Source organism: Homo sapiens, chromosome 13, assembly GCF_000001405.40.
Source record: "Homo sapiens chromosome 13, GRCh38.p14 Primary Assembly".
In the NCBI taxonomy this organism is placed as follows: domain Eukaryota; kingdom Metazoa; phylum Chordata; class Mammalia; order Primates; family Hominidae; genus Homo; species Homo sapiens.
In genome coordinates, this window is record NC_000013.11 from 20,319,386 (window position 1) to 20,338,356 (window position 18,971).

Consider the following 18,971-nt stretch of genomic DNA (forward strand, 5'->3'; position numbering starts at 1 on the left):
GTCTCAGCAAGATAGAATTCTGCAGCAGTCTGCCTTCAAACTTAAACTGCAACACCAGCTCCTCACTGGGTCTCCAGCCTGCTGACCTGCTGTGAAGGCTTTGGACTCCCCAGCATCCATAATAATCACGTGGACCAATTCCTAAAAAATCAGTCTCCTTCTAATTCTGTCTCTTTCCCTATTGATTCTGTTTCTCTGAAGAATGCTGATTAACACATTTCCCTAAACTATCTCCTGGAGAATGTCACCTTATTTCATTTAAGTAATTCTTATTCAGTCCTACATCCCCAAATGCTTCAGAAGCACCCTGATTTTTGTTTGTTTGTTTGTTTTTGAGATGGAGTCTCGCTCTGTCACCCAGGCTGGAGTGGAGTGGCACGATCTCAGCTCACTACAAGCTCCGCCTCCTGGGTTCATGCCATTCTCCTGCCTCAGCCTCCTGAGTAGCTGGGACTACAGGTGCCCGCCACCGTGCCTGGCTAATTTTTTTGTATTTTTAGTAGAGACGGGGTTTCACTGCATTAGCCAGGATGGTCTCGATCTCCTGACCTCGTGATCTGCCCGCCTTGGCCTCCCAAAGTGCTGGGATTACAGGTGTGAGCCACCGTGCCCAGCCCAGAAGCACCCTGATTTTTAGTGTACATAATTATGAGGAATTAGCTTAGTTCCATAAAATTTAAACAAGATTAGAATGATTAGGTGATTGAAACCTCAGCGCAAATGCTGTCTGCACTCAGCTTGAAGACAGGCATGTCTCTGAGACAGGGAACAATCCAGTTGTAATCCCTGGGCACAATTCACAGAAGAGAGTAATTGAATCAGTGTATCATGCTCATCATCCACCCCAAGGGAAGCCTCAGCATCACAGTATCCAAAGGAACCCAAAGGTAAGAAAAGAAGGAAAAGCCGAAGTGACTGCGCCTCTCACAGCAAACAAGAACACCACATTCTGCAGCTGTATTAACTGTGGATACCATTTGTGTACATGCTTCCTGTAATCCCAAATAGCAGGTGCCAACCTGTTTTCTTGGGTTGGAAATATTAGCCCCTGAAGCCAGTTGTGTGTGGTCATGGTTATGAGCGTGATTTCTGCAGTTGGATGCACCACATCCATATTCAGTGCTGCAGGGATCACCATCTATGCATGGAAGAGACTGGGTACCTGGTGGCACTTGGATAATAAGCACACATGCTATAGAGACAGCAGCAAGTGCATTTCAAAGCACTTTTGTATCTATTATTTAAAAAGTGGTGGACTTGTTTGTTGCATATATGCTGAGGAATGTTTACATGTACATTTCAAACCCAGTTTTCTAATTGTGCAGTCTTAATTTCCTAGTTAATTTCACTTTACAGATAAGAAGCTCTGGAGACATGGCCTTTCCGGTTAAAGACACAGAGCCCAGGCACTGCCCACGGCTTCCTCCACACTCATGCTGCTTTCCCTTAGGTAAGACAAACCTCACCAAAGCTGAGACTGGCTCAAGAAACGGGGAAGCCTAATGCTTGTAAACATTCCCTTAATTGGAAGCATTAGGCACCAAAATTCTTCCTAAAAAATATGTAAGCCCCAAGAATGAAAGGGCCATGGTTAGCACAAACCGCACCTCCTGAGCCCAGCAAAACCCAACAGGCACAGTGCAGCACAGCCTGGGCGGTCTCTCAGGTGAGTCTCTGCCTCGCTCTTGCCCTGTCTGTCACCTCATCTCTGCCAAGTCTGAAAATCCTGAGCTCCAGGGACTGTGGGAACTTCACTAGACATGTGTGAACAACTCTACATTCTGATCCGTAGCGTCTCCCTAATGATGCACATCTAGGAAGGAGAGGGAGGGAGAGGGAGCGTGTGCATTCCTTGGAGCAACGAGGACAGCCTAGTGATTTGCAAACTCTTTGCGGCCTCCTGGTGGGCTTCAGAATCAATTTGTGAGTCCCAACCAGAATTTTCTACATAATTAGAATAAAACAGAGTTAAGATATGAGTGCATCGTATGTTGCAAGATACTGTTTTGTAAACGTTGTTTCAGATATTTGTGAGTGCACATGTGTGTGTGCAGTAATGGGTCACAAAATATATTTACTCTGGGTCATGTTTTAAGAGGGCTAGAAGGCAACACTAACATAGGATGGTTGGAAGATGGTCAGGCTCAGAACATCAGATTTTGCCTCCTTCCAGGGTACCACTTTTATCAAGTCACACATTCCTTCCCGCTCTGCTTTTGTGTTTCTCAATCGCTATCCAAATTTGCGCAGAAGTCAGGAATCACGTGGGTAAAGATTTAAGCTGTACTTCTGTGTTAATTAAGCACGTTGAAGAAGAGGTGCTCTGGGGGAACGTGGAGAAGGTGGGTAGCGAGGGCTCCAGGGGCTCAGAAGGTGGCCTCGAGGGGCTCTCATCTGCCATCCTTGTGAGGGAGAAAGTCCTAAACCAGTCGTAACATTGCCAGAACAAGGGGTCCCAATCCAGACCTCCAAAGAGGGTGCTTGGATCTCTCATGGGAAGGAATTCAAGGTGAGTCACAAAGTGCTGTGAGAAGAGAGAGTTTTTTGGAAGTTACGCAGATACAGAGTAGGGTGTCCTCAGAAAGCAAGAGGAGGAACTGCCTCGTCTTTAAGTTTTTCTTACATAGGAGTCCTCTCTATGTAAAGACAGAGCTAAGCTGTGTCTCTATGTGGGTGGGCTGACAGCGTGACAAAATTTATTATTCTGTTGATTTAAAGAAAACTATACTCAATATTTTAATGTGTAAGTACATCAAGTCATAATTATAATTATCTTGAAAGCATATATTGTTATGGGTATTGGGACCTCTGGACTTTTCGTTGTCATATGATTGTATCCTTGCAGGTATCTTTAGGCTGTTTCTTCAACTGTAAATATCTTATGACTGTGGGTCGTGACCGGCAAGGAATGGAGTTGGTTTTTAAAATGGTGTCACCCTGGCTCTTCTATGCTCCTGTTTCCCTAACAGTAATAGCCCAGCCATTCTCTCCCATGTTCTCCTCTGCCCTCAACTTCAGAATGAAGTCAATTTTTATTTCAGCCAAAATAGGAGGATTCTATTCTGTCTGTTGAGGTCTGCTGTGGTCTAATGATGTTAATAACCAGTGGCTGGGCATGATTACACGACGAGGATTCTAAATCCTGTTTCATGTTTCCCTCTGGGCCCACTGGCTATATGACCCCTTAAATGTTTACCGTGATTGCAGGAGGCCCTGGCTAACATAGGGTCGTTAGTGTCAGAACTGAATTAAATTGTAGGACATGCAGGTGGTGACTGCAGAGAATTGGAGCATTGCTTGGAGTGAAAACCAAGCCCACATATTTGGTGTCAAAAGTGTTATACAAGTAGAAAAACAGGTTCTCTTTAATGGAATATTATTCAGCCGTATTAAGGAATGAGGTTCAGACCCATACTACAGCACATATGAATCTCCAAAATATTGTGTTTAGTGAAATAATATAGACACAAAGGACAAATACTGTATAATTGCACTTACATGAGGTGCCTGGAATAGGCAAATCCATAGAGACAGGCAGTAGAATCATGGTTGCCAGGGGCTGGGCGGGAGGGAGAATGGAGAGTTAGTGCTTAATGGGTACAGAGTTTCTGTTTAGAGGTGATGAAAACAGTTTGGAAATAGTGGTGATGATTGTACTATATTGTGAATGTATGTAATGCCACTCACCGAACACTCTAAAGTGTTTGAAATAGCAAATTTCTATTATACGTATTTTACCATAGTTTTTAAGTTAATTACCATAGTTTTTAAAAGTTAATAGGATAATATTCCCTGAACCACTATACACTTTAGATTGGTACACTGTGTGGCATGTGCATTATATCTCAATGAAGTTGTTAAAAACAAGATTTAAAAGCAGAGATTGGGTAAAGTAAAGGTTTGCTCTGTGCTGAGCTGTGTGGCATGTGGACCTGTTTTCCCAGGAGGGAGCACTCCTGGGGTTTTGGCCGCAGCTGCACATCAGCCCCCTGTGCAGAGGAGGTATGGTGTGTGATCTGGAGATTAGCTGTTTCTAGTGCAGTATTTACATTTAAAGACATTGCTGAGTTAGGCAGAATTTTCTATATCCATTTGTATTTTGCTTGGCATTCACTTTCTTACAAAAATGGACAATCAAGACAAAGAAAACAAAAGGTCCAATTACTACTCTTCATTTCACCCCAAAGCAAAACAATATTAGTTTTCAATTTTTTTTTCCCATAGAAAGCAATAACAGTCCCATACTACCTCCTCTTCCATGAAAGTAGTGCTTGAGATGCCCCAAGGAAAAACCATTCTTTCCAAAGATGAAAGACTTTGTACCTGTCAGGTGAAGAGATGGAATAAATGCCACTCCTAGTGGGTGTGGGACTTGTGCAGCCCCTGGTCCCCAGTTATCTGCTTATCAGAATGTGGTTTGCATATCACCTTTAGCGGAATTCCTTGGGATGCTTGTAATTCTGGGGGAGATGTCTGGAGTCTGCATTTTTAGCCAGTACTCCTATGACTTAGGCACAGTAGGGAACCACTGGTGCCATTCCTTCCTTCCTTTCTTCCTTCCTTCCTTCCTTCCTTCTTTCCTTCCTTCCTTCCTTCCTCCCTCCCTCCGTCCTTCCCTCCCTCCTTCTTTCTCTCTTTCTTTCTTTCTTCGGAGTCTCACTCTGTCACCCAAGCTGGATTGCAATGGTGTGATCTTGGCTCACTGCAACCTCTGTCTTCTGGGTTCAAGTGATTCTCCTGCCTCAGCCTGCTCAGTAGCTGGTATTATAGGTGTGCACCACCACACCCAGCTAATTTTTTTGGATTTTAGTGGAGGGGTTTCACCACGTTGAGCAGGCTGATCTTGAACTCCTGGCTTCAAATGATCCACCCGCCTCAGCCTCCCAAAGTACTTGGATTACAGGCGTGAACCACTGCGCCCTGCTGCAATGCTTTTGCTTTCCGTATACAAGGAGGGGTTGCAGGCTTGACTCTAAAATGATTGACTTTATGGAGGACCGTCTCATGTCTGGATGGTAAGTGATAGGGGAGGGGGCAACCCTAAATGGGATCCCAATGACTTGATGAAAGACTGGAAGATGAGACACTTTCAGGTGTGCATAATGGAAGACTTACGTAGGACTAGGACCAAGCCTCTCAATTATACTAAGTTGTCCATGATTGACCAGGGATTTGATGAAAATCCCACTGCCTTCCTAGAAAGGTTAAGAGAGGCCTTGGTAAAGCACACCTCTCTATCTCCTGATTCAGTCAAGGGACAGCTAATCCTAAAGGATGAATTTGGCTGGGCATGGTGGCTCATGCGTGTAATCCCAGCACTTTGGGAGGCTGAGGTGGGAGGATCACCTGAGGTCAAGAGTTTGAGACCAGCCTTGTCAACGTGGTGAAACCCTGTCTCTACTAAAAATACAAAAAAAATTAGCTGGGTGTGGTGGCAGGTGCCTGTAATCTCAGCTACTCGGGAGGTGGAGGCAGGAGAATTGTTTGAATCTGGGAGGCAGAGGTTTGCAGGGAACCTAGATCGCACCATTGCACTCCAACCTGGGTGACAAGCAAAACTCCATCTCAAAAAAATAAAAGGGATAAATTTATTACTCAAGCTGCCCGATATCAGGAGGAAGTTGCAGAAAGGGGCCCTGGGTCCAGAAAGTACATTAGAGGACCTCCTGAAAATGGCCACCTTGGTCTTTTATGATTGAGACAGGGAGGCCTGGGAAAGAGAGAGGAGATACAGGTATTCCAGGGTGCACCTGTTAACTTCTAAAGATATGGCAAGAACAGTTCTCTCTCTTCTAAAGTTTATCTGCCCCCGTACAAGGTTTAATTTCTTTCACCAGGGTGAAACAGCTTGGAGTACAATGTTGTTGTTAGTATATTTCACTTATCTCTGTTGGCACTAAATTCTTTCCTTGTATAATACACATGTTTAACTTATGCATACTTGACCTTATAAAACTTGTTTTTTTCTCTCATGCCTAGAAGCCATCAAACTCCAAATGGTCAGGCAACTGGAGCCTCAGATGATAGCTCCCCTTTGCTAGGAACCCTTAAATAGACCTCTGGGAGGACTCTGACTGCCATTTTCTCCAAAACAACACCCCTTGTCAGCAGGAAGCAGCAAGACTGGTCATCAACCATATTCTAACGGCAGTATTCCTATGATTTAGCCAGTGGGCCGTGACCGGCAAGGAATGTGCCTTGTTAGTTTCAAGATGGAGTTGATTTTTAAAATCATGTCACCCTGGCTCTTCTATGCTCCTGTTCCCCTAACAGTAATAGCCCAGCCATTCTCTGCCATGTTTTCCTCTGCCCCCAGCTTCCGAATGAAGTCAATTTTTATTTCTTCAACGTACCTCTTCAGAGGGGAAATTATACAGGAGGGGGGCAGGGAAGTGCTGGGTAGAGAAAGGTGGATCCCCAGCTAGGGTTCCACCCCCACAGACCTAGGTGAGGAAAGGCACTTCTGGCTTCACACCCAAATGTTGCATTTTCGAAGACCAACCTGGCCTGCCATGCCCCCATTCTGGGCCTATAAAAACCCACCACCCTAGCGGACAGACACACAGGTGGCCAGACGTCAAGAACAGCACATCAGCAGTTGAAGACACAAAAGGGTGGACGACAAGAAGGCATCACAAGAGAACGTCAAGGGAGCACGCCGATGGAAGAACCTGCTGGCAGGCTATCCACTGTTGGCATGAGGGGGAGTTTGGCTGGGGCAGTCAGAGAAGAGCCCGGCTGCATAGCGGCCCAATTCCAGGGGAAAACCATCTCTCTTTTGGCTCCCCCGGCAGAGAGCTACTTCTGCTCAATAAAACTTGGCTTTTATTCACCAAGCCCAGGTGTGATCCGATTCTTCCGGTACACCAAAGCAAGAATCCCTCTGTCCTTGTGACAAGGTAGAGGGTCTAATTGAGCTGGTTAATACAAGCCACCTATAGAGAGCAAACTAAGAAAGCACCCTGTAACACAGGCCCACTGGGGCTTCAGGAGCTGTAAACATTCACCCCTAGACACTGCCGTGGGGTCGGAGCCCCCCAGCCTGCCTATCTGTATGCTCCCCTAGAGGTTTGTGCAGTGAGGCACTGAGGAAGTGAGCCATACTCCCATCCACGCCCTACAAAGGGGATAAGGGAATCTTTCCTGTTTCATAAGTAGCAATCTCTGTGGTAACAGCCCCTGTGGTGATGCCGTCTCTCTCGGTTCTGCCCTCTCTATGCTCAGAGGCCCTGGTTGCTGATTGCATCTCATCCGAACACCTTGTCGGGGGCTGAAGCCCACTGTGCCCAGGTCTTCCTAGGCTGGGCCAGGCTGCGTTTTGACCTGACCTTGCCCTGCAAACCATTCCAGCCTCAGCATAGACCCTCCGCTGCTCCTGCCCAGGCCTCGCCTATTCCCAGTAAGGCTGCCTGGAGCAAGTTGTTTCCAAACATTGACCTGAGGTTGAGCAGGAGTTAAAACCAAACTCCTGCACCCCCGTGAATGCCCAGCCCTGGGACACTCACATTATTTAAGCAGCATTGCTGAGGATTTGGTTCAGCTCAGTACTCCCGGGGTGGGTTCTCAAAACACCAGACTGGGGCTGGACACAGCACAGCCTGGCCTGAGCACTGCCCTGTGGATCAAGGTCCACTCTGACACTTTCTAGCTGCTGGTGGCTGTGTTTTTTTTCTCCCACCCTGGACCTGAGCTGTCTATTTAGAGGGGAATGTGTCCTTGTGCATGCCATCCCTTTCCCAGGCCCCGTTGTATGACCTTCCTGAAATGGTACTTAATCATTTTTTACAAGAAGGGTATATTCCTAATGTGTGCTGAAAGAGCCACTTTGCTAGAAATCAGAAATCAGAGCTGCCAGAAGTTGTTAGGTGTGGCTACTATTTGGTATGAAGCCCCCCCGCTCCCTGCTTAACCATAATTCCACTTTAACAGAAATGTCTGATTTAAAGAACAGGAGCGTCAGAAACAGAAACTTGAAATGGGCCTGAATCCTGGCCCTTGCAACTTTCCATAAACCTCTTCAGATCTTCTGTGGGTGCTCTGTCCCCCAACAGAAGTTACTCTGCAATGTTAATTTATAGATCATCTAGCTGCCTCCTGACTCTTGGCAATTTCATTTTGATGAATGTCATTTAAAAACTCATTTATTCAACAAACGTGTGATGCTCTCCCGTACCAGGTACCTAGCTATGTACTCAGTATTCCACGGCCAACAATACATACCTGCACCCTGCCCTTGAGAAACCATATCATCCACGTGCAGTAGGTCCAAAGGTTCATGGCAGGTACTAACAGAGTCCTCAGGTGGGGAGGAGCATGCAAAATGCCTTGAAATAACTGCTGGAGAGAGTGACATCTAGGTTGTCATCTGAAGGCTGGGTCAGATTTTAATCACAAAATGACCTTCGACCTGACCCATTCCCCCAAACAGGAGTTTACTGAGCTCAACGTTCTTCATCTACCTGCATTTCCCTCTGAGACATGAGGCTTTTCTAAGTAGTTCACTAAGTGAGAAAGCCAATAGAAGGAACTCAAATTGGCTTACTCAGATTGGTTAATGAAAAATATTTGATTGTCCATCAACGGAATATACATACTTCTTAGCACTGCATAGCATTTATTATAAAATTGACCACATAATTGGAAGTAAAAGACTCCTCAGCAAATGCAAAAAAAAAAGGAAACGGAAATCATAACAAACAGTCTCTCAGACCACGGTACAATCAAATTAGAACTCAAGATTAAGAAACTCACTGAAAACCACAAAACTACATGGAAACTGAACAACCTGCTCCTGAATGACTACTGGGTAAATAATGAAATTAAGGCAGAAATAAATAAGTTCTTTGAAACCAGTGAGAACAAAGACACAGTGTACCAGAATCTCTGGGACACAGCTAAAGCAGTGTTTAGAGGGAGATTTATAGCACTAAATGCCCACATCAGAAAGTGAGAAAGATCTAAAATTGACACCCTACCATCACAATTAAAAGAACTAGAGAAGCAAGAGCAAACAAATTCAAAAGCTAGCAGAAGACAAGAAATAACTAAGATCAGAGCAGAACTGAAGGAGATAGAGACACGAAAAACCCTTCAAAAAAATCAATGAATCCAAAAGCTGGTGTTTTGAAAAGACTGACAAACTAGATAGACCACTAGTCAGACTAATAAAGAAGAAAAGAGAGAAGAATCAAATAGACACAACAAAAAATGATAAAGTGGATGTCACCACTGATCCCACAGAAATACAAACTACCATCAGAGAATACTATAAACACCTCTATGCAAATAAACCAGAAAATCTAGATGAAATGGATAAATTCCTGGACACGTACACCCTCCCAAGACTAAACCAGGAAGAAGTCGAATCCAGGAAGAAGTCGAATCCCTGAATAGACCAATAACAAGTTCTGAAATTGAGGCAGTAATTAATAGCCTACCAACCAAAAAAAAGCCCAGGACCAGATGGATTCACAGCCGAATTCTACCAGAGGTACAAAGAGGAGCTGGTACAATTCCTTGGGAAACTATTTCAAACAATAGAAAAAGAGGGACTCCTCCCTAACTCATTTTATGAGGACAGCATCATCCTGATACCAAAACCTGGCAGAGACACACAAAGAAAGAAAATTTCAGGCCACTATCCCTGATGAATATCGATGTGAAAATTCTCAATAAAATACTGGCAAACCGAATCCAGCAGCACACCAAAAAGCTTATCCAGCACGATCAAGTAGGCTTCATCCCTGGGATGCAAGGCTGGTTCAACATATGCAGATCAATAAACGTAATCCATCACATAAACAGAACCAATGACAAAAACCACATGATTATCTCAATAGATGCAGAAAAGGCCTTCGATAAAATTCAACACCCTTCATGCTAAAAACACTCAATAAACCAGAGCTATTTATGACAAACCTATAGCCAATATTATACTGAATGGGCAAAAGCTGGAAGCATTCCCTTTGAAAACCAGCACAAGACAAGGATGCCCTCTCTTACCACTCCTATTCAACATAGTATTTAGAAGTACTGACCAGGGCAATCAGGCAAAAGAAAGAAAGAAAGGTATTCAAATAGGAAGAGAGGAAGTCAAATTGTCTCTCTTTGCAGATGACATGATTGTATATTTAGAAAACCCCATCGTCTCAGCCAAAAAACTCCTTAAACTGATAAGCAACTTCAGCAAATTCTCAGGATACAAAATCAATGTGAAAAATCACAAGTATTTCTATACACCAATAATAGACAAACAGAGAGCCAAATCATGAGTGAACCCCCATTCAAAATTGTTACAAAGAGAATAAAATACCTAGGAATCCAACTTACAAGGGATGTGAAAGACCTCTTCAAGAACTACAAACCACTGCTCAAGGAAATAAGAGAGGATACACGGAAATGGAAAAACATCCCATGCTCATGGATAGGAAGAATCAATATTGTGAAAATGGCCATACTGCCTAAAGTAATTTATAGATTCAATGCTATTCCCAACAAGCTATCATTGACTTTCTTCGCAGAATTAGAAAAAACTACTTTAAATTTCGTATGACACCAAAAACAAGCCCATATAGCCAAGACAATCCTAAGCAAAAAGAACAAAGATCATGCTATCAGACTTCAAACTATATAATCAAAACAATGTGGTACTGGCACTGAAACAAATATATAGACCAATGGAACGGAACAGAGGCCTCAGAAATAACACCACACATCTACAACCACCTGATCTTTGACAAACCTGACAAAAACAAGGAATAGGAAAAGGATTCCCTATTTAATAAATGGTGCTGGGAAAACTGACTAGCCATATGCCAAAAACTGAAACTGGACCCCTTCCTTACACCTTATACAAAAATTAACTCAAGATGGATTAAAGACTTAAACTTAAGACCTAAAACCATAAAAGCCTTAGAAGAAAACCTAGGCAATACCATTCAGGACATAGGCATGGGCAAAGACCTCAAGACTGAAACACCAAAAGCAATTGCAACAAAAGCCAAAATTGACAAATGGGATCTAATTAAACTAATGAGTTTCTGCACAGCAAAGAAACTATCATCAGAGTGAACAGGCAACTTACAGAATGGGAGAAAATTTTTGCAATCTATCCATCTGACAAAGGGCTAATATCCAGAATCCACAAGGAACTTAAACAAATTTACAAGAAGAAAACAAACAACCCCATCAAAAATTGGGCAAAGGATATGAACAGACACTTCTCAAAAGAAGACATTTATGTGGCCAACAAACATATGAAAAGCAGCTCATCATCACTGGTCATCAGAGAAATACAAATCAAAACCACAATAAGATACCATCTCACGGCAGTTAGAATGGCAGTCATTAAAAAGTCAGGAAACAACAGATGCTGGAGAGGATGTGGAGAAATAGGAACGCTTTTACACTGTTGGTGGGAGTGCAAATTAGTTCAACCATTGTGGAAACATTATGGTGATTCCTCAAGGATCTAGAACCAGAAATACCATTTGACCCAGCAATCCCATTACTGGGTATATACCCAAATGATTATAAATAATTCTACCATAAAGACACATGCACATGCTTGCTTATTGCAGCACTATTTACAATAGCAAAGACTTGGAACCAACCCAATGCCCATCAATGATAGACTGGTTAAAGAAAATGTGGCACAGACACACCATGGAATACTATGCAGCCATAAAAATGAATGAGTTCATGTCCTTTACTGGGACACGGATGAAGCTGGCAACCATCATTCTTAGCAAACTAACACAGGAACAGAAAACCAAACACCGCATGTTTTCACTCATAAGTGGGAGTTGAACAATGAGAATACGTGGACCCAGGGAGGGGAACATCACACACTGGGGCTTGTCAGGGGGTGGGGAGCAAGGGGAGGGACAGCATTAGAAGAAATACCTAATGCATTCAGGGCTTAAAACCGAGATGATGGGTTGATGGGTGCAGCACACCATCATGGCACATGTATACCTATGTAACAAACCTGCACATTCTGCACATGTATCCTAGAACTTAAAGTATAATTTTAAAAAAGTTTTAAAAAATATTTGATTGTCAAAGGATTCTAACTCTGAATGTCGTTTATTACCCCAAAGAGTAGGACCATCTCCCTTCTCGGTGCTGTCATTTTCATCATCTTTTAAAGAGTTCATAGGGTTGTCCTTACAGTAATGAGTTTGTTGTAATGTTTTAGGGGAAATAATTAGCCCTTTTAGGACATTAGATTATCCCCTAGTGGTGACATTACATCTCTGGGGAACATTTTATATCCTCCAGAAAAGGGATCTCATTAAGTCAAGTGTGTTAAAGACACATTCAAAGTCACTGTCACAGGAGTTCATTATTTCTGAAGGAAATGTAAGCAGCAATTTCACAGTTGAGTCTGCAATTATTAAAAAAAAAAAAAAGTCCAAAGACCCTCAGTTCTTCTGACATAGCCACTCTGTAATTCATTTTTTAATTCAAAATATGCATTATAAAGTACTAAACCAAAAAATGTTAAAAACGAAGAAAGAAACAACAACAGCAAAAACACGTCGGAGAGTAAGCTAACGGTCCCCTGCGGAGCAGCAAGTCACTGTTTCTCCCACGCTCCATACTTCAGAATGCAAATGGGCTAAGTTCATGCTCATTCATTAATATCCATGACTGTTGTCACAGTTTTTTCTTTCTCAGCATCATTCTATGAAGAATAAATGACTTAGTTACCACAAACCAATGATGAGTTTTTCAAGTGGAAAAGACAAACACTTGAGCCCCATTTTACACGAATGACCATAAAAACTGAAAACCATGAAAATGTTGAGTCAACATCCCCAGTAACACCCGGGGAGCTTCGTAGAACTATTCAACGATGTAGATTTGGCCACACCCTGGATCAAATCACGACCCCAAAAGAAATACAGAAAAAATTTAGACAGTAGTCTTCTGACTGAACCCCAAGATTTCAGTGATAATCCATTCAAAAATATTTATAAGGCAAAAATCCATTTGGCAATCAAGAACTTAAGTCAACATGTTCTTATTAATCATGCAGTTAGTCGCATGTGGTGTTTCCACTTGTGCAATCTTCCTAAATTAGCTTAACTGGAAATGGAGAGCCTCAACTTTGGAAGGCTCTTCTGGAAACAGGCACTGCTTCCTGGGCAGCTCTGCCGAAGAGAGATCATAATCTCACAGCAGCTGACAGTCTAGCACTGACTTTGTCTGGCATTTCTGAGCCCCTGTAGTGCACCTCTCATCGAATGCTTTGGGAATTCTGAGGGAGCTGCTGCATCCTCATCTTTCACACGCAGGAGGGACTCATATTCAGAGGTTAGGAGGTGGAGGGGGCATTTAAGCCCAGGTCTGTCTCACTTTGGAGCCTGCGCTCCTGACCACCTGCGTGGTTGTTTCTCCAGGAGGTTGTTTGTTAGACTGGGTGGAAGCAGGTCTCTTCCTCTGCGGGTCCTGATGTCAGTCCCTCCTCTTGCTGACAGCTCTTCAGACTTGTGACAGCAGCCAGCATTCTGTGAATTCTCCTCTTCTCCAGGCTAAATGTTCCCAGGACTTCCAAGATTCCTCAGACATCAGAAAGAGCCAGTCCCTCCATCATCCTGTCTGCCTGAACACACAGAGGTCAGGGGGAGACAGTGTGGGGCACAGTCATTGTCTTGATTCAAATGGAGTTTACTGAAAACAAATGAAAGGTTTTCCTCTGACATGCTGTGCTCCATACTTGCACAGCTTGTTTTGTGAACTTAAACCTAAGAACTTACATTTTGTCTTTAATAAATTGCATCCTGATAGACTGAGCACAATGTTCTAATTTATCTTTGTATTTTCTAAAATTCAGTTTTGGTACTCAGTATATCTTCCACACTTTCGGCTCTGTTGTCTATGCAGCATTACCTAGAGGAAAGAACATAGTTTAAGGTCATATTAACTTGGATTCAAATTCTGGGTGTGACACTTACGAGCTGTGCAACCTTGGGCAACCATGGTACCGAACCCTGCGACCTTCTTGTAATACATGGAGTGTTGTTTAGATGTAAGCTGTTCTTGAAGAGCTAAATGAGAGGAAACACACACCCCCTGGGGTTGGCCCCAGGAGTCTGAAGGAGGCGCTACAGTGGGATTGTAATTTAGGAAGCAAAACCTAAGCAACTTGAGAGTAACCTGTGCAGAGAGTGAATGTGTGCCTGGAACAGATGGTTCAGTGCAGACCACAGAAAAAGGAAGCCAGAAGCTATCTATTTTAGGGAGAGAAACACTGTATCCTAGACAACAGAACCTTCTGGAACAGGCCTCACTGTGGCCTGAATAAAATAGCCCTCACCCTAATAGGAGCTGTCATACTAGGCTCCTATTGACTTCAATAAGGATAGCACCATGTTCAAGAGGCCCAAGAAGAGACCCAGAGCCAGCAAATGAGACACAGTGTTTACTGGGGGAACTTACATTCAGGGATGGTCCAGTGGCAGCAGGCTTGACAGGGGAACCATTACCTCTCATAAAAGGCATGCAGTTCATGTAGCATTTTCACTTAGCACCCTCCCCCAGCAACCTGCCACAGGATGGGCCAGGGGCTCAGATGTTCCTCATAGGTAAGAAATGGACCTCCTAGTTGGCCACTCCTGGACTGCTTAGCTGAGAACTCTGAACAGACACTCTTCTTAGACCATGGAGTCATTCTCAGGGTATGCTTGAGTTCTCATTGTCAGGTGCATCTGCCATACAGGGGCCACCAATCAGCCAGGCGTCAGAACGGAGCAACACACTGACCTCTCAGGAGTGCTGATGGGAGTCGTGAGCATCTGGTCACTGGAAAGGAACGTCCCCCAGTGGACACAATAACTGGCGCCCGGTACACACACTGCATCTCGTATGTTTAACTGCACACATACCCCTGACTCACACCACTCTGGAACAGGGACAGGGGTCTCCACACTCACCCCTGTGGGGCCTGCTGAGGGCACATTCTGCCTTCCTGTGTTGACATCCTGATCTCACCTTCATCTCTTTTTTGACCTGCAACTCGCTGCCATTTTCTAATCTGTAACAAAGGAGCACAACACCCTCTGTGTAGCTTCATCACAATGAGCGAGTAAACAACGTGCCTACAGTGACTATCCTGGTGCCTGCAACATCCCAGGCTCTTACCCCTACTGTCCCACACGCCCACCTCCCACTGCCACCACTGTTGCCCAAACTGAACAGGAACGAGCTGAGGGCCTCAGAGGGCACCAATCCAGTCCCCTTCCTAATGACAACAGCCCTCTACCCATGGTCCTGTGAACACGGTCTTTTTAGGCAGTCATTAACCCCCCTGTCTGCATTATTCCCTGGCCTGCATGGTGCTCAAGGGCACCAGGTTGAAGTCCCGATGAAGAGCATCTACACATTTCTCTGATTTTTCTAGCAAGCCTATCAAAAGTAAAAACTGGTTTAGATCGGCATGACTTTTTTTTTAATTTAAAGTGTATTTGCAAAACATCTCATTAAAAATCCATTACAGAATCTTTCCAGGATGAATGTCAACTCATAGAGTATGTAGAGTATGGCTTAAAAAGTCCTTTTTCTCCCTCTTTGAAAATTAGATCCATGTTTTTCAAAATCTGGCCTTTTCAGCCCTTTCTTATTTTCTGTGACCTTTCTTCAAAAATTCATATCGGTTCAGTTATCTCAACTAGATATTCCAGCCTGTGACTCCTCAGGCTGAAATTTGTCAAAGTCAGGAGATTTTAACTGTTTTAGAGCAGCTATGAACTCTACTAGAATCTTCTTAAAACTCCTTTTTTAATGATAAAGGAAAAAAGATAAAGCCCCTAATATTCCATATTCCCACCAGATTTAACCACTATTAACATCTTGGCATATTTGGCTTCCAGGTTTTTTTTTTTTTTTTTGTAAGAAAAATCACTACATTGCTTTTTATAAAAGTGATATATGTATAATAATATCAAGTACAAAAAAATGTAGTAAGTAGAAAGGTAACAGTTTTTAATCACACCAATTCCACACTCAGAAATTGCTATTGTTACCATTAGGTGAACATGGTCTCAGACAGCTCCCTGTGCATAAAAATAGAAGGCACTTAGAAACACTTCCATAAAAATGTAATCGGCCAGGCTAGGTGGCTCACCCCTGTAATCCCAGCACTTTGGGAGGCCGAGGCGGGCAGATCACAAGGTCAGGAGGAGTTCGAGACAAGCCTGACCAACATGGTGAAACCCCATCTCTACTAAAAAAAAAAAAATACAAAAATTAGCCGGGCCTGGTGGTGTGCACCTGTAATCCCAGCTACTCAGGAGGCTGAGGCAGGAGAATCGACCGGGGAGGCGGAGGTTGCAGTGAGCGGAGATCGCGCCACTGCACTCCAGCCTGGGCGACAGAGCGAGATTCCGTCTCAAAAAAAAAAAAAAGTAATCAGGCTGAAACATCATAATTATTATATAGTAGCAAATGTATTTTCCTTGAATTTAATAAAGTAAAATTAAACTGAAGGCATTTTTGAAACTCAAATAAAACTTCCTCTGTGGCAAGAGATACGATTTCCTAAAAATCACTCTCGGTTTAAACAAAGAAATCGCGACAAACATTCAGATAGGTTAGGGTCATTACTGTTGGTTTCTCAAAGTCTATTTGCATGTCTGACAGCGTGTGTTGACTCTTGGCTTTTAAAGGCGACATCGAGTCCTTTCGTCTTTCTGCCTTGTCTCCTGCCTGTGGCTCCTTATTTTTGTTAATCATACTCTTATTTTACTCAGTGCAGGTTTGTGACGTTCATATTTATTGGTGACCACAGTGTTCTGTATTAGCTCACGGCAGCCTTTAATCGTAGTGCCTGCCCCCTGACGTGTCTGCAGATGGCTGCCTTGGTGCCTTTCTTCCCACCCTCGTGACTGCTGTAGTGCCCCGGGCTGAGCTTCCTTAGAACTCCCCCCCGGCACTGCTCCATTGCCTTCCAGCACTGAGTGCTGCTGTAGGGACACTGGAGATCAGATTTATTTATTTATTTATTGCCCTTGTAGATGTTTTGGTTTTTCTGCCTGGTGTCTTGAGAATTTGTTTGAGCATTTGTTCTTTTGTTCTTTATTATTTTATGTATTTATTTTTGAGAGGGAGTCTCACTCTGTTGCCCAGAGTGGAGTACAATGGTGTGATCTTGGCTCACTGCAACCCCCGCATCCCAGGTTCAAGTGATTCTCCTGCCTCAGCCTCCCGAGTAGCTGAGATTACAGGCATGAGCCCCCATGACCAGCTACTTTTTGTATTTTTGGTAGAGACAGGGTTTCACCATGTTGGCCAAGCTGGTCTCAAACTCCTGGCCTCAAGAGATCCACCTGCCTTGGCTTCCCAAAGTGCTGGGATTACAGGCATCAGGCACCACACTCAGCTGAGAATTTGTTCTTTATCCTTGAAATTCAATAGCTTAACTATTGCTTGAGGCTTCTGATTCAAAATTTCCTAAAATATGGCATGTTCTTTTGATACAAAGATGCTGTTCTTCTTCCTTTTCAGGAAAATTCTCTTGTGCTGTATCTCTGAATGGCTCCTCAGTTCCATCTGTGAGTTCTCTATCTCTATCCCTATGTGGATTGTCTTTGTCACCAGTATCGGTTATGTCGTCATTCTAGTTTAATTTTCTTGTCTTTTTCAGTGGTTTTCTCTAGGATCATGCCTGACCTCTCCACGTTGCAGGCAGTTCAGTTTCCGTCAGTGTCTAGTTCTGTCCTTTGCTTTCCTGTTTGTTAATTAACAGTGAGGTTTTGATCCCCAGTTTGTTGCCTATGTCTGCAGTCTCTCTTTTTCTTACTGTGTATATTGTTTTCACTTATGACTATTTTGTTGACTTCCTATTCTTATTAAGTGATTTTCTTCAGAGTGAAGCAATGGTAAGGAATTTACTTCTCAAGTTATGTTTTCTCTCGGGTTAATTTCTGGTCTCTTCCTTCACTCTGCTCCCCTTCTTTTTTCTTGTTTGCCGAAATGAGTTTGCAGGGCTGATCTGTTGGTCCTTCCTGTCTAATTCACACCTGCACCCTGACACAGTGTGAGTGGCTTCCTTACTCTCCTCCGGGTGCCTTTAAGTCCTTCTGATCTAGAAGGCCAGGCTTTTAGGCCTTTTGTGTTCTCTCCAGTTGAGGGAATGGGAAGGTAGGAAGCACTCAGCTGATACACTGCATAGTTTTCTAAGAATCCCTGAGCTCTCCTTTTTCTTCTGAGATTTTGTGAAATCTCTACTAATCACTTTACTGACATAAAATTTCATTTTTTCTTATTTATGTTTTTTCTATTCTTTTTAGTCTAAAAATGTTTCTCCTTAACAAAAATGACAGATTCAAGTTAGAAGATAATGAGTGTAACTTTATATTTGTTTTCTATTAGTATCCTGCTCCCAGCCACAAGCAGTAGACTTTTCTCTTTATTGTCCCTTGTATTGCCTGATGACTTGTATTTATAGCCATACTTTTAGATTTTGCCTATTTGATCTATTCTTACAACTTCACATCACCACAACCTTTAAAATCTGACTTCACCCGAGAGCGTTTTGCATAGTTCTGTTTAGTTCTTCAGATGCACTCTCCTTTTTATCCTCAGTAATAGAAATTGCAATTGCAGCAGGAACCATGTGTCTTGGTATTTTTACGCCACTTTGTAATGTCTCATCTTTTAGTATCTTAGGTAATGCACGCTGCCTTTCTAACATCTAGGGCAGAAGTGAAAGCAGGAACTTAAACAGATATTTGTACACCCATGTTCATAGATAGCAGCACTATTCACAACAGCCAAGAAGTGGAAGTAACCCAACTGTCCAACCAATGACTAGATGAACAAAATGTGGTATATATCTACAGTGGAGTAGTGTTCAGCTTTAAAAAGGAAGGAAATTATGACAGGTGACAGCACTGCTGCACCTTGAAGACATTATACTAAATAATGTCATTATACTGAATAAGCGAGTCACAAAAGAACAAATATTG

The 18,971-nt window shown here is 43.2% G+C and overlaps 1 long non-coding RNA gene across 1 annotated transcript in view; it reads left to right on the forward strand.

Moving 5' to 3' along the window:
* The window catches only part of LOC105370102 (uncharacterized), a 30,534-nt gene extending 23,698 nt beyond the window's left edge, over positions 1-6,836 (forward strand). The window contains exons 2-3 of the long non-coding RNA XR_941720.2: positions 1,357-1,450; positions 5,980-6,836. This is a non-coding gene — a long non-coding RNA (uncharacterized LOC105370102). The remainder of the gene's footprint in view (positions 1-1,356; positions 1,451-5,979) is intronic.
* Positions 6,837-18,971: the final 12,135 nt, after the last annotated feature.